Raw genomic sequence first — 14,444 nt, forward strand, 5'->3', positions numbered from 1 at the left:
TTGCTTTTCTGAGTCAATTTACTGCCTGTGGTGTGCTTTGCCGTCATCAGAGCCACTGGCCTGTCATGAAGCTCTGTGATGTCTGGTCATCAGAATTCCAGCTGAGTTTGAATGAGAACAGTGAAAGCAGGCAGGTCATCTGTCAGTCTCAAAGACAACGTTTTGAACATCTTTAGTTTGCATTTTTTTTTCAACTGGGAAAAGAGACAGCTCTTTCAGAAAAGGAAAGCTCATTTTTATTTGAGAAAATTGTTTATATTAACTAGTTGAAAGATGATCTAGAAAAAAGGAAATAAGAATGATAGCTAAAACTGTCATGCTTATATTAACAACTTTTATGATATTTGAACAAAAAGTCAAAATTACTCAGTGGCTTATAACACAGGCTGAGGAAATGATGCTATAAATATAGTATAAAGAAAATGTGAATGTGTTAAACTTGCCTAAGATCTTGAATTCAGTGTGTAAACATTTAGGCTGTGCCCCTGACCATTTTGATTCTGCCTTAGCTACTCTGTGTTCATATGGGCAATGTGGACACATGTCAATGTAATGGAGAAAAGGGAAAAAAAGGAAACTTGAGATAGATTAACTGAATACTTTTTCAAAGAAGAAGTGATGGCTTGGTTGTGGAGAAGGCAGAAATTATAGGTTAAATTAGTATTCTTTAACAAACTACCAATAAATTTAATTTAGCCATGCTGACCTCCTGTCCATCATCAACTGGGTTAAACAAGACTGATCAACACCGAGTGCTTATGTCACAAAATGAAGCAATAGTCAATATTGTCTCAAGCCAAGGAACTTTCTGAAATGCATTCGATTTAAATAAATAACCCGATTACGAGCCTGAGGAAGTTTATGAATGATGCAACAGGAAATGGAGCCAAATCTTTTAGAGATGATATTTGAGTGCCTTCAAACAAACACCCAGATTTTCAGACACTTGACCCGAATTTCATCAGTCTTATTCCAGTCTATTCCAGCTGCAATGGATCCAGGATAGCAATGGCGGGGGGGATCTGTAGTTTCCAAATAATGTACAGGGCAAAAAACAGAGCTGGCTCCAGGTTTGATTAGAGATTTTTAAGAGGTGCTCTTTTCTGCTTCTATTTGTGTTTTTACTAGAAAGTATTATTATAAAAATACTTCTGTGAAAAAAGTGTGGATAGAAGAATGATGTCACTGAGAACTCTGCCAGTGGCAGAAATTTCAACTAAAAATTGGGGTATAACCAGATTTCCTGTGGCTAACTAACAAGGGCTATCCTAGGGTTTTCTCCGACAGATGGAGAAGTAATAAGGTACTTGCAAATGATAAAAATGGGTAGTGGGTTGAAAAAAAGCATTGAAATTACATTACTCTGACACAGTACCTGAACTGTAGTCAAATTCACACATTCACAGATCTCAGAACTGGACAAAATCCTAGAGTGGGGCATTTACTCTGGGCTCTAGATGGTATTTTTATCCCCATTTCACAGATGCGTTCCAAGATTTTCCTGAGATTACATGTAATTATTAACTTTATAATTAAATAGCTATTGTAGTATAAGCACAAAAAAAACAAACAAAAAACATACAACAACAACAAAAAACCTCAGCCACTGTATATTCTGTCCAGAAGGCAAATTACCATTATGGGAAGAATCATGCAAAAAGAAGTAAGGAAAATTTCCATTATCTGTTCTGCTAATGGGAAGGAGCTCAGTGACAAGATGGTGGATAGTCTATGCTGTGCCTCTAAAATTTCAAATGCAATTCATGGCATCTCATGTGAGACACACACTCCTGGTCTGCTACATGAAGAATAAACTAATGATTTTCATCTGGTGGTCACTGTAAAATTAATAGTCCTCAGAAATAGTGGCCTAAATGGATGAGATTAGTTGTAACCATTATAACAATAAAAAAAAAAAAAGAAATTGGAGTAAAATTCATTCCCAGTACCACCACTATTTTATGTTCTTAAAACTTACATTAAGTGATAATGTTTTAAAAAGCATATGCCCATAAATAATTTTGTTTTAAGAAAAAGGAGGGTGTGGTGGCTCATACCTGTAATTCCAGCACTTTGGGAGGCTGAGGTGGGCAGATTGCTTGAGCCCAGGAGTTGGAGACTAGCCTGGGTAACATGGCCAAGCCCCATCTCTACAAGAAAATACAAAAATTAGTTCAGGCATGATGGTGCCTGTCTGTAGTTCCAGCTACCTGGGAGGCTGCGGTGGGAGTATTGCTTGAGCCTGGGACGTCGAGTCACAGTGGCAGGCACATTGTGGCAGTGAGCCACAATAGTGCCACTGTACTCCACCTGGGTGAAACAGCAAGATCTTGTCTCAATTTTTTTTTCAAAAAGGGGCCCAGGACGGGGGACAGCCTTGTTTTTCTAATATGGTAAGGCCCATGTTCTTTGATATTGCTTCTTGTAGTATAGGATATGGAAACTAGAGAAACTACATTAGAGAACTTATTCAAAAAATATCTTCCTTTGCTGACAATATATGGCTTAATTTACGTGTTTATTGAATGTTCTGTCTTAATTTCACTGGATGAATTTGCTAGGGCTGCTACAGCAAGATACCACTGACTGGATGGCTGAAACAGCAGACATGCATTTTCTCACAGTTCTGGAGGCTAGATATCTGAGATCAAGATGCTGGCAGGGTTGGTTCCTTCTGAGGGCCATCGGGAAGGAGCTGTTCCTGGCCTCTCTCTCTCTTTGGCTGGTAGATGGCCATCTTTTTCCTGTGTCTTCAGAACATTTTCTCTCTGTATGTGTTTGTGTGCAGGTTTCCTCTACTTATAAGGACACCAGTCAGGTCAGTTTAGGGCCCACTCTAAAGACCTCATTTTAACTGAATTACCTCTATAAGGTCCTTATCTCCAAATATGGTCACATTCTGAGGTTATCAAGGTTAGAACTTCAACATATTAATTTGAGGGGGACAAAATTCAGCCCATAACAATCTCTTAATTGCATTGTGTGTGACTCCTGATGTCAATATTCAGAAAGTTGCTGATATACATCATGGGAGGAGGAAAGAGCAAGGACACTTATATGTAGCAGGCTTCTCCTGTGCCTGGAACATTGGGCTAGGTAGTTCAGAGATTTTATTTCCATTCATAGCCACTTGCTGTGTACTTACCCTATGCCAGGTTCTTTACATACATTCCCATTAAGCCTCACAACAAAGCAACAAGCCAGGCATGAGCCCCATTCAACAGAAGACAGAACTGAAATGCAAAGGTGAAAATTCTTTTCAAAGCTGGCATTCACACCCCGACCTATCATACTAAGACTCCTTTGTTCACTTTCCACAACATCAGAGAGACACCTACCTACTCCGACCTTGTCAGGCAGTCCATGGCCATTCTATCTTGTATGATCTAATTTCAGGAATACTTTTCCTATGATGAGTGGAAAAACTGAGGCATGGAGAGAATCAAACTCTGCCTGGCCCCATCTGTCTCCTCTACTTTAGTGATCCAGTGTCTGAATCAAGTAATCAGTTGTAAGCTGTGATTCTACTAGTCAGGTATTATAGAAGGGACCACCGTTGATGGGAATAATATGGGCCATTTTCTCTATAAAATATAAAACTCTTCTATGACTACTTCCAAGAGGAGAAAAGTGGCTGATGAAAAAAGCAAACAAACAAAAAAACCTTGCCTTTCAAAGTAGCTGGGCTGAGGAGTATGGATATTACAGACTTGGGTGTTTATCTCATATTTGCAATGGAAAATCCTCTTTAAGAGCAACCTTGAGACAATTCAATAGTTCACAAAATCAGTCAAGGAAAGCTAAAATCAACCATCCCCAGGAGAGCCAAATTCAACAAAAACTTCCCTCAAAGGCTCACTCACTCTTACCAGCAGAAGGTGTGATGTGTGGAGCTAATCTAAAAGCAAATTCACGGTGGGTAAAATAATAAAAGAATGCTTATATGAAGCAAAAGATATTGCTTTTCTTGATCAAAAAACCAAAACAAAGCAAGATATCACTTCTCATTATGCCCTGTTCTTGCAGAGTAGTAATGACTCAATGATTATCTTGAGAAGCCCAGTATCATAAAGATACTCAAGGGTGCGCAAAATGCCTCTGAGTTCTTTGCTTCTTCCAACATGAGTTTCCAGTTCCCTTATGCTGCTCAGGGTCCCAAACTGCCCTCTCCCAATGAAACCCTCCATCCACATCCTTCATGTTTAGGGAGTTCACTTAATTTGTCCATTCACTTGTGGCTCAACTAAACCAACCTCTTAAACTAGTTAGAAAGATATGATCCCTTCCAGACACATATTTACATTTTAACCAGAAATTTCATTGTCTTCTGATAGTACTTTTAGGCCCCAAGGATGACTTTTATGGGAGAGATACTTGGTCTGGGGAATCTTTTCTCTTTTCAAATTGTATGTATTTTCCTAAGATCACATGTATTATTCATTGTTTATCTATCTATCTATCTATCTATCTATCTATCTATCTATCTATCTATCTATTCTCTATCTGTAAAATCGCCTTTGACTTCCATTCATACTCACAAAATATAAAAGCCTGAAAACCTCCAGATTGCCTGAGAAATCATTTGGTTTTCTCATTTTCTTCTCATAATCCTTCTGTGTACAGAAAGAATATCAGTTTGTGATATATCTTCTTACATTTTTGGTGTGGTAGGAGGATGGCAGCTTCTTTTTTTATCTTTTCCAAGCACATATATTTTTACATAATCAATATATGTTGTATCTAGTTTTATTACCCTTAAATATTCATTAATTCCTATGTACTTATCTGCAAAATATAGAATTGCATGTTTTTCTACTTGACTCAATAACCAGTGTTTATCTTGTTATTATGCTTAGAATCTTTCAAATACATCTTGTAACAATTGAGAAACAGAGAGATAAATTTTTAGATTAGTTTTCCTGACGTTCACCCGTAGAATTACACACTAAAGGTTGAATGTTTTTTCTTTTTTAATAAAAGCACTTATTAAACACCTCCTTTGAGTCATTAAGGCTAAAATAGTATCATTAATATTATATTACTACTACTTCATTAAGAATTAAGAAGATTTTTGTGAGTTTCATGAAAAACTAGCCAATTTTTTTAGGAGAACATGTTCTATGGAAAATAGACTCCTAGCTCAAATCTCTAACTTATAAAATTATCAAAACAACAGCAATGACAACAATGGCTTCTCTGGTCAGCTTGTGTTTTCACTGCTTCCGGAAACTTTCAGTGCCTCTCCTCCACTCCACTCTCACCACATAACTCACTTCACAGAGAAGATGCAAGACAGTAGAAAGAACCTGCCTCCCACCAGAATAACAGACCTAAATTCAGTGACACCCATCAGCTCCTCTTTCCCTACTGCTGTACAGAGGAGCTGTTCCTCTTCCAATCTAGGGTAAATCTGCCCATCTGGGCTCTAAGTTGGATACCCTTCTGCCTTTCAGGCAATTCACACCCTAATTATTTTTTCTGTGCTTTAATCTCAACATTTCCCCCAATACTTGATTCTACCTATTGGCATTTAAGAATATTCAAGAATATCCCATCTTAAAAGCAAACACAAAAGAAAATAAAAGGCAATCTGGAGATTTTTAGGCCTTTGTATTTTTTTGAGTATAAATGGAGGTTAAAGATGATTTTACAGATAGAGGATAGACAGATAGATAGATAGACAGATTATACCTAGATAGTTCATTGAACAATACATGTAATCTTAGGAAAATGTATGTGATTTGAAGAGAGGAAAGATTCCCAGACCAAGTATCTCTCCCATAGAAGCCATCCTTGGGTACTAACACTACTATTGTGTGCAGAGTTGGTTCCTTCTGGTGGGTTCTTGGTCTCGCTGACTTCAAGAATGAAGCCACAGACCTTCACAGCAGGTGTTACAGCCCTTAAAGGTGGTGTAGACCCAAAGAGTGAGCAGCAGCAAGATTTACTGTGAAGAGTGAAAGAACACAGCTTCCACGTATGGAAGGGGACCCGAGTGGGTTGCAGCTGCTGGCTGCAGTGGCCAGCTTTTATTCCCTTATTTGTCCCCTTCCACATCCTGCTGATTGGTCCATTTTATAGAGTGCTGACTGGTGCATTTACAATCCTTTAGCTAGACACAGAGTGCTGATTGGAGCATTTTTACACAGTGCTGGTTGGTGCATTTACAGTCTTTTAGCTAGACACAGAGTGCTGATTGGTGCGTTTACAATCCTTTAGCTAGACACAGAGCGCTGATTGGTGCATTTTTACAGAGTGCTGATTGGTGCTTTTACAATCCTCTTGTAAGACAGAAAAGTTCTCCAAGTCCCCACCCAACCCAGAAGTCCAGCTGGCTTCACCTCTCACTATCATAAGACAATGAGTTTCTGGTTAAAATGTAAGTATGTGCCTGGAAGGGGTCATATCTTTCTACTAGTTTAAGAGATTGGTTTAGTTGGGCCAAGAGTGGATGGATAAATGAAGTGAATTCCCTCAACATCAAGGATGTAGATGGAGGGTTTTACTGGGAGAGGGCCGTTTAGGGGATGAGACCCTGAGCAGCATAAGGGTTATCTACGTATCTCTTCATTTTCCCATTCACACCTATTCCTTCCAGAGCTATTGCTCATCTCTGCCCCTTCAGGAGGAATTTTCAGAGGGAATTATCTTTACTCATTGTCTTTTTTTTTTTTTTTTTTACTTTCCATTGACTCCATAGTCCATTCCAATCTGACCTGTAATCCTGTTCCTCCATCACTCCACTAAACAACTCTTGCTACAGTAAAATCTCAGTAACCATCACATCCCTAAGGCCAATTGCATTCCAGTCCTCATTAAAGCGGAAGTCTCAGTGGTATTCAACTCTTGTCAGTATATCGTTTTAGAAATACCCCTTCTTTTTGGCCTTTATGACAATACACTCTCCTGGTTTTCCTCCTACCTCTGCAGTTGCTCATTCTCAAGGTCTTCAGTTGTCCCATCCTGACAATTCACTCTTTTAAGATTCCTCAACATTCTTTCCTTGGCCTCCTTTTCCAATTCCCTTAGCAGTTTCATTCATTCCTCCCCTTTCAATTATTATCACCTACATATCAATGACTCACAAACATAATCTCCAATCCAAACAACTCCTCTCTATTCCTAACTCATTTGATTGTCTCGAAGAGACTAGAAATTGATCCTAGCCCAATTCGAACTCAAGATCTTCCTTCCAAACTAGGTTTCTTCTAAGTCTTCCTGGCCTATATGAATGAAGTCTGAATCTTAAGGGAGATTTTTGACAACATTCTCTCCTTCACTGCCATATTCATCTCACCATCTGTTCTGTTAATTATACTTTCTAAATGCATCTGGAATGCATCTTTTTCCAATAAATATGGAATTTTCTACAGTTAACAGCAATCAAATTTCATTTGAAATATGGCTATAGTGTTTTGTAGTACAGCTTTTATGTTCGTACTGAAGATAAAATGGAGAAGTAGGACTTTTCCATAAGACAGTCTCTAGCTAGCATTTTACCTTGGTTTTTAACAGCACTTTAACTTTTATTATCATTCATTTATCAAGCACAATCATGTATCATTCATGTATTAAATGGCTAGTTTAATTCCAAATGAACATTTACTAGATGCCTTCAGATTTTCAGAATCTATACCACCTCATTATTTTATTAGGAAACCTTTAAAAATGCTAAAATTTTCTTAACTGCAAATATCAACACAGATTTGGAACTTGATAAGGGTTATGGCTGTGTACCATTGTGAATTACTAAGTGGCAACACATAACAAAAAATTATATTAAAGAGTGGTACCCTTTAAAATTATTTATTTTGTGTTATGTGAATTTTACCTCAATAAAAACAAGTATCAGCACAAAGGCAGAAAATTTCTGAGAGGCTGATTTTTCTCCTCTATAAAGGACCTTACATAACTCCACTGGGATAATTGTCTATCCAAGCCACAGAAATCAATTTGAATCTGCAGTTCTGGGAAAGATTAGGTCAGGCTTTAAATAAAGAGGTGTAGGCAAGGTAAATTGTCACTGAATTCTTAAATACCACTCAGAGTTCAAGACTGTACTTCTTTTGAATTACTTCCACTCTTTCACTGTGAACAATTATATGGGCTGGTTCCTAAGAACCATTGTAAAGGCCAATCTAGCATCTTTTTTTTTTTTTTTTTTTTTTTTTTTTTTGAGATGGAGTCTCGCCCTGTCGCCCAGGCTGGAGTGCAGTGGCGCGATCTCAGCTCACTGCAACCTCCGCTTCCCAGGTTCAAATGATTCTCCTGCCTCAACCTCCCGAGTAGCTGGGATTACTGGTGCCCACCACCATGCCCAGCTAATTTTTTTCTATTTTTAGTAGAGACAGGGTTTCACCATGTTGACCAGGCTGGTCTCAAACTCCTGACATCAAGCGATCCACCCACCTTAGCCTCCTAAGGTACTGGGATTACAGGCGTGAGCCACTGAGCCCGGCCCCTTCATTCTTAAAGGTCCCTAAAGAGGGAGTTTTTAAAATCTTTAGTAGCATATTCTGGTGTCTCACCCCAACCCTCAAAATTTGTGAGGCTTAGTTAAATCTCTCCTTCATTTTTAAGAATCTATTTCTTCTGTGTTGAATTCTCAGTAGGAATAGGTAAAAATATCATCAGCCTAGTCATCAGATGACCTAAGTTCAAGTTCTCGGTTCAAATTCTGACATTTTTATCATCAGGTTGCTAACCTTAAACCTCAGTTTCCTCTTAATAAAATGGAAGTGATAATGTCTGTTTCATAGGGTTCTTTCAATTCCTAAATTAGAAAATGTATATGATATCATATAGTTATTTTTAAATGTAATTTATTACCTCAGTAAGACATAATTCTCTGCCCTATTCTAATTTTATTTCATGTGGATAATTCATAGATAATTTTAAATCTATGTCAGTTTTTTACTACAAAAGGCAGCATATGGTTAAATTTCAAATTAATGATATATTACACTACCCTAGTCCCACTGAAAATATTAAATAACACCAGATTCTAAGTCAATCTAGAAAACTATCCTGTCCTCTGGATCCCTTTACTTCATTGGTATCTATTGTTCATTTGTTATGAGAGAGAAAGTTTATTGTTTCTTCCATCAGAGCTTATGATCCTGCTTACAGCACAAAACATGTATACAAATGAATAAAATAAAAAGCAGGAGGAAACAAGCACCAGAAAAATAAACTTCATACAAACTTAGAACATTATACCGGGTGAACAACAAGAATGATTTTGTAGTTCAGCCCTCAATAAGCCATCATTAGACATTAGGTAAATATATTAATAAAAAAGCAATTTTTATAAAATCAAGACAAAAAAGGGAGTTTTATAAAAATCACACTGTAGAATCATAAAAATTCAGCAGTGGAAAGAATCTTTGCTATCTCCTAGCTCATCTGCCTTTGACATGGGATAATATTGCCCCACTGTACCCCAGGAGCATTTGGTAACACGAGAAGAGTGTTTTTTGGTTGTCATGACTAGAGGTGGCAGAGCATGAGTGGGTGGGACCTAGAAATACCAAACATACTGCAATACAAGGGACACGCCCATTCAACAAATAATTATCCTGCCCCCATCCTACGCGCCAACCTCTCAACCTCCCCCTGCCCCATAGACAGAAGGAAAAACTGATGTTCACATATGATACGAGATTTTTCCATGATGTTCTGGGCTTAGCATTAGTCTATATTTCAGACAGTGCTATTAAACAGCAACATCATGTGAGGCGTAAATGCAAGCCACCTGTAATATTAAATTTGCTGTCACATTAAAATATTTAAAAACTAGTGAAATTAATTTTGATAGTATATTTTCTTTAACCCTGTCTACATAAACCTTTATCATTTCAATATGTAATCAATATAAAATTATTAATGAGATATTTTTTGTGCTAAGTTTTCAAAATCTGTTATATATTTATACTTAACAGTACATCTCAATTCAGACTAGCCACAGTGCAGGTGCCCAGTAGCCACATGTGCCTAGGTGTGGCCCCCATATTGCAGCTCTAGGAGATCCTGTGTGTCTTTCTCACAAATTAGTGTCATAAGCACCCGAGTGCAGGACTTCAGCTGACTCCGTCTACTGTTCCTGTCACTGTGTCATAGAGACAGGAGATTGGTCTGATAGACTGTTTTACAGAAAGCCAAATCCATGTTCATCATTATTTTGTCTCCTCTGATCTTTTAAGGAGTTGCAAATTGCAAATAATCGCTTGAGATTATTTTGTGTTCTCTGATCTTTAAGGAGTTGCGAATTGATTTCTGGATGAGTCACTTGAGTATTTTTTTTAGGTCTGAAGCTAAATGGCCCATTTGATAATTCCAGGCTGGACATATTCTTTTTCTGAAAAATATGCAATATCTTTACCATTTGCCCTAATTGCTTTCATTATTTATGTAGGATAGTACCTGAGCACAAGTTTCTAGCCCTTCTTGTTAGAATTATACAGCTTAGTTCTTTATTTATTATTTATTTATTTATTTATTTATTTATTTATTTATTTATTTATTTATTTTGAGACGGAGTCTCGCTCTGTCGCCCAGGCTGGAGTGCAGTGGCGCAATCTCGGCTCACTGTAAGCTCCGCCTCCCGGGTTCACGCCATTCTCCTGCCTCAGCCTTCCAAGTAGCTGGGACTACAGGCGCCCGCCACCACAACCGGCTAATTTTTTGTATTTTTAGTAGAGACGGGGTTTCACCGTGTTAGCCAGGATGGTCTCGATCTCCTGGCCTCGTGATCCGCCCACCTCGGCCTCCCAAAGTGCTGGGATTACAGGTGTGAGCCACTGCGCCCGGCCCGGCTTAGTTCTTATAACTGTTCTTGGTAGTAGTATTTGCGTAATTTTTCTTGCTGAAACTTCCATAAACATTCCTGTATTTCCTCCAGCTAATAAAGTATTTATGTCTTAACCCTTTTTTTTACAATATCAATTTTATGTGTTACTAAGCTCCTTCTGGCATTCTTTCTTGCTGTATTGAATGTAACTATTTTGTCAATTTTTCTTCATTTCTCTAGAGCTCAGTTATTAAATAACGTTTTGCTTGGAGTATTATATAATTATTTTTCATAAATCTTTTTATTTCTGCTTGACTTTCAATTGAAATAACCCTGAAGTAAGAAGCGTATATATATATAATTTTTTATTTGGATTTCAGATACAAACCTTTTAATTTTTAAGTCTTTAAACACAGCAAACCATAGATTTTAAAGTATATTGAGCCTGTACATGTCAGGTTTAGATCATGAGAAAGAGGCAATCATGTCATCTTGTCTGAAAAGATTTAAGGGAATGATTTATTCATAATTTAGCTGGGATTTGATACCTTTGTGCCCTAAAAAGAGAATAAAATAAATGGTCTTTTCTAGTCTACATATATTTTTGTGGGTCTATTTTTCCTCCACCAAAATAGAGAGTTGTGTAATCTGGACAATGGATCTGTATGTCTGCTTTTGTCTATACTTTCTGGCTGAATTTTCTGTAAAGTCCAGATTATAAATATTTTATGCTTTACCAACTTAATGGTTTCTGTCAGAACTACTCAACTCTGCTTCCCATTGTAGCATGAAAGCAGCAGTAGCCAATATGTAAACTACTGGGACTGATTGTGTTCCAATCAGCCAGTTTCATTTCGTAAAACTACATTTACGAAAACAGGCTGTGGGCTGGACTTGGCACATGGACCATAATTTGCTGGCCCTTGTTCTGGCTATTTCAGAATCACTACCTTCACTATGACTGTATAGACTGCTCATCCCATCTCCCATCCTCATGCTGGCCTCATGATGTTGAGTTGTTATAATGACTTTAAATTCAAAAAAGACAGATTTAGGGATTACTAATTATTGTATCACTATGAAACTATATTTTTCTTCTAGTTCACCCACTAAGTATATTATAAAAAATATTTATGCTTCTGCTTTTAAAACACAATTTCCCAATTTTTCCACTGTTGTTTTCTTTTAGTATTTTAGTGAGGTCCATAAAACCTCACCTTTAGCTTCGGGTCTATCACCACCCAGCTTTTCTGCCCTTAATTTTCATTTATTTCTCATTTTATGTTCATTTGCTGTAGAGTGAACACTCTGCTAAATTTTCCAACTTTTACCCTACAGTGTAAAAGCAGCCTTTTTTTAAAAGTTTTTAAGATGAACTTAGGGATAATTTGATAATTTGGGGATAATTTGATAATTTGGGGATAATTTTAGATTTACAGAAAAGTTTAAAGATAGTACAGAGGGTTTCTGCACACTTTCACCCAGTTCCCACCATTGTTAGCATCTTAATATACCATGGTACATGAATACTAGCTGAACTCAAGGCTTTATTTGAATTTCACCAGTTTTTCCATTAATCTCCTTTTTCTGTTCCAGGATCAAATCCCAGCTACCACACTGCATTTAGTCATCAAATCACCCTAGTTTTCTCTGGTCTCTGATATTTCCTCAGTCTTTTCTTGTTTTTTTGTTTGTTTGATTGTTTGTTTTTTGTTTTTTTTTTTTCATGACCCTGACAGTTTTGAAGAGTCTGGTCAGGTACCCTGTAAAAATTTTCCCAGTCTGAGGTTTATCTGATGTTTTCCCCTCATAATTAGGCTCAAATTAGGGGTGTTTTGAAAGACTACCCTAGAGGTGATGTGTCCTTCTTATCATATCATATCAGGGGTTTTTGATAGGTAGCCACATGCCATTACTGGAGATGTTAACCTTCATCACTTAGTTCCGGTAGTGCTTGCTTAATTTCTCCCCTATAAAGTTACTATTTTTCCTTCTTCATATTTTATGCTTTAGAAGCAGAGCACTAAGTCTACCCAACCTTCAAGGAGAAGGGGGAAAGGGAACTCAGCCGCATCTCCCGGAAAGGGGAACAGCCACATTTATTATTTGAAATTCTCCTGTATGGAAGATTTGCCCATTATTCCTCACTTATCTCTTTATTCAAACATTTATTTATTTATATCAGTACAAACTCATGGATAATTATATCATACTTTGTGTAATAATCCAAATACTACGTTATTTATTTTATTGTTCAATTTGTTCCAGCTTTGGCTGGTGGGAGCTCTTTCAGGTTGGCTCCTATATTCCTTTGATATACCCGTATCCTTTTTTTGAGCACTATCTTACTCTCTGCCACTACAAGATGCTGTACGCTCACCTTGTATTTTTCCTTCCCCAGTGCTAGAATCAGCCATTTCTCCAAGGACTCTGGCTCCTCTTGTTGGAGAATGATATTAGAAACCAAGATTTGTGCCCTGAGTGTTCTAATTGCTAGCAAGGTGTCATTGACTCTAGGCCCTCTCAGTTAACATAGCTAAGAAATGCATGATTTGTGTGAACTAACCAATATATATACACATATCTATAAATATTTATATATCTATCCATCTGTATCTACATTAAACTAAACATGAGTTTGTACTAATACACTGCCACAGGGCTCACTGAGTCACATTTTTAAAAGATCGCTCCAAAAATATTTTATAAAACAACAGCAACAAAAAGGGATAACTAACTGTTCCAAGAGTGGAGGCAGTGAGACCAGTTTAGGCTGTTGTCATCTAGGCAAGAGATGATATAGGTTTGAATTAGGATGGTAACAAACAACAAGGAGGAGATGGAGCTGATTCCAGACAGACTTTGAAGATACAGCTGGTAGGATTTGATGGTAGTTTGGATATGAAGTAGGGGTAGGAGAATGAGGGGAAATAGAAGGATGAAGGACAACTCATGGATTGGAGGTCTGAAGGAAATGTGTGCACTGTGATGCCATTTGCTGAGGTGGGGAATACTAGGGAAGGCGCAGCTTTGGAGGGGAGGATACAGACATCAAAAGTTCTGTTTTTATCTTGCTAAGTTTGAGAAGCTCTTTAGACAAGGTGACAAGTCAAATGAGCGGGCACACCTAGGAGTGTGGAGCTCCTGCGAGGAGTCTGGACTAGAGATATAAATTATAGTGTTATCAGCATACAGATGGTAATTGAAGCCAGGGGGCTAGATGGGATAACCCAGGGAGAAGGCAAGAGTGATGACAGAAAAAAAAAAAGGATCAGCACTGAGTCCCAAGACAAGACACTTCAGCATTTAGAGGCTGAGCAGAGGAGGAGCCAGCAGAGGTGATTTCACTTCTCTGCTAGAGTTCAAGATTCATAGTAGTTTTATTTTTAATTAATTAATTAATTTATTTATTTATTGAGACGGAGTTTCCCTCTTGTTGCCCATGCTGGAGTGCAGTGGTGCAATCTCAGCTCACTGAAATCTCCGACTCCCGGGTTAGAGGGATTCTCCTGCCTCAGCCTCCTGAGTAGCTGGGAGTATAGGCGCACACCACCACACCCGGCTAATTTTTTGTAGTTTAGTAGAGACGGGTTTTCACTGTGTTAGCCAGGATGGTCTCCATCTCCTGACCTGGTGATCCACCCACCTCGGCCTC

At 37.9% G+C, this 14,444-nt stretch overlaps 1 protein-coding gene across 1 annotated transcript in view, besides 1 other annotated feature; it reads left to right on the forward strand.

The window, feature by feature from the left end:
* The window catches only part of FAR2 (fatty acyl-CoA reductase 2), a 186,339-nt gene that overhangs the window by 26,999 nt on the left and 144,896 nt on the right, over positions 1-14,444 (forward strand). The gene's annotated exons all lie outside the window — the stretch shown is intronic.
* Positions 10,170-10,671: an enhancer, noted in NCBI's record as "H3K4me1 hESC enhancer chr12:29339379-29339880 (GRCh37/hg19 assembly coordinates)". NCBI's record gives its function as "activates a minimal SCP1, AML or CMV promoter by ChIP-STARR-seq in naive H9 embryonic stem cells {active_cell/tissue: H9 hESC(naive)}" and the evidence as "EXISTENCE:reporter gene assay evidence [ECO:0000049][PMID:30033119]".

The sequence above is a fragment of the Homo sapiens genome, chromosome 12 (assembly GCF_000001405.40).
Source record: "Homo sapiens chromosome 12, GRCh38.p14 Primary Assembly".
NCBI lineage: Eukaryota > Metazoa > Chordata > Mammalia > Primates > Hominidae > Homo > Homo sapiens.